The 2,263-nt window shown below is 51.3% G+C and overlaps 1 annotated feature.

The window, feature by feature from the left end:
• Nucleotides 1,277-1,943: an enhancer, noted in NCBI's record as "H3K4me1 hESC enhancer chr13:27316809-27317475 (GRCh37/hg19 assembly coordinates)". NCBI's record gives its function as "activates a minimal SCP1, AML or CMV promoter by ChIP-STARR-seq in naive H9 embryonic stem cells {active_cell/tissue: H9 hESC(naive)}" and the evidence as "EXISTENCE:reporter gene assay evidence [ECO:0000049][PMID:30033119]".

Consider the following 2,263-nt stretch of genomic DNA (forward strand, 5'->3'; position numbering starts at 1 on the left):
AAAGCCCTGTGCTGGGAAGCAGGAGATGGACCAACCCTTCCCTGTACCTCTGAGCTATGAGTTTAGGTATTTCCCTTCAGCTCTCTAGGCTTTGTTTACCCTTTTGGGGATAATAGCTGACTTTTTAAGGTTAGGGGATACTTGCTTATGCTGACATTTGGGAGAATTTTCATTCATAATAATAAAGATAGTTCCACATCATGAGCCCCTAGTAGATGCCGCCGTATATCCATGATATCCTCAGCAGTATCTGATGGGTGAGGAGACTTAGGTTTGGAGACATGAAACGACTTACCCAAGGTGACACAGACAGAAAGTGACCACCCCAGGACTTGGACAGGTCTATCCAACCCCAGGACCAGTCAACTGCCTTAACAGAGGAAACTGGCCCCAGGGGATTTTTCTTGTAATCCAGCTGAAGCATGTGACTTCTATCCAGGATGGGCTAAAAAGAAAAGTGTGCGATGGGGTAGGGTGGGAGTTTGGGGTTATGGCTTTCCGGAGCCTGAGAGAGTGAGGCACAAGTGGATCTAGTGTCCCCAATCAACCCCAGACCTCAGCATCCACACGTGGGATAGAGGAGCAGCCCAGGGCTGGTCCTGGGTGAGATTTCTGCCTCAGAGGGAGAGGTCCTCATTGCTGGCCTTTGGTGAGGAAGCATTCTCATGAAAGCCACTTGACCCTGAGGGCTGGGAAGCTGAGGGCACTGAGTCGGTGTCTGGGGAGGGTGTGGAGTACACCTGGGCTCTTTCCATGGGCTCTGTGAGTTGCTGCCAAGCCCAGGGGACAGGCTTATGCAGATGTGTTCTAGGTAAAGCTGAACCATGCCCCCGAAATCCTCGTCCCAGAAAATTGTCTGGGTCAGGATTCTCTAAATCCAACCGATATCACCTCACCTCGCTTAATTCTAGACCATAATACAAAAAGTGAGCCGATGCCCCTGCTGCGGGGAGCTTGCGCTCACGAACAAGGTCCGTTTTGGGGAAAGGCCTCACTCCTATGTCCCAGCTGGACAGTAGCACGGGAGCCCCATCTAGCTATCAGTTCTGGCAGCCTTCCTTTGGATTACAAGCTTAGGACAACCGCAATGCTTCCACCCTATGCTTGGTGCGAAAGTTTTCAAAACAGAGAGAAATAGGTCTCTGCGCTGTTTCTTTTCCCCTCCGGCACCCCTTCGGTGGGAGACAGTTGATGTCTTTTTGAGGTGGGGCTGAGTGGGCCCTCCCTGCTCCTCAGCAGCTCCAGCGACCACCCTAGACGTGCTAGGGAGATGACACCCTGAGCCCTGCTCAGAAGGGGGCACCACTTGCGAGTAGGCCCTGACCAACAGGAGAGAGAGCCTTTGCCCAGACCACGCCTGTGTGTCTCCCCCAAATTCACAGAAAGAAAAGGACGCGCAGTCGCTTAGCGATTACTAAGCCCAGACACAGGAGAGGGAATCCTAGCCCTGCTCCTCCCCCAGTCCTTCGCAGTCTCTCCTTGTCTGTAAGGAGGTGTGGCCTGACGGCTTTACATCTGACTCTAAAACTCACAGGTCAAGGAAAAACTCTGTGATGTGCGGTGGGGCGATTTGCCGGCAGCCGGCGGCATCCTCGCCTCGGGCCTGTTTAGAACCCAGAGCTGGCCTTCTTCATTTGACACCTGTCTCACGCAGAAGAGCCGGCGGGGCCACAAGGGAGCTCCTGGTACAGACTGCTCTATAAAGCATAGACACTCGGGGAGGGGAGGGGCGGCAAATTCCCACCTACAGGAGAGGTGCGCTCTCCGGGTTTGGTCCTTCTCCACACCCACCCTTTCTGGGCCATGCTCCAGTTAAAACCACATGTAAAAGCACAGGCTGTGGTGGCCCGGCAGAGAGATGGAGAAGGGGGCTGGTGACCTCCCTCCCAGAGCCCATGGGCAGGCCACAGGTTCACCTGCCGGAGTCAGACTTCACGGGCTCTCTCCAGCCCAGAAGAAAGGAGTGCAAAGCAAATCTGCCGTAGAAATATTCTTAAAGTTAAGTCCTCAAAGCAAATTCAGAATTCATTATTTTGGGTACATGTAAATATGTATTTGCTGCTTAACCTGTGGTTCAACCTTTGCACTTTTATACATTCTAAAATTTTTTAGTTTATGCAAAAATCAGTGTAATCAGGATCCTGTAGAAATGTAATTAAATTTTGTTAAGTTTACAAGGTTTTGTTTTTCTCAGATCTAAACTTCCTGAGTCACACTCTGCATTTGAGACTCAGAATCCCCTGTTTCTAAATGGCATATTTAG

Source organism: Homo sapiens, chromosome 13 (assembly GCF_000001405.40).
Source record: "Homo sapiens chromosome 13, GRCh38.p14 Primary Assembly".
Lineage (NCBI taxonomy): Eukaryota > Metazoa > Chordata > Mammalia > Primates > Hominidae > Homo > Homo sapiens.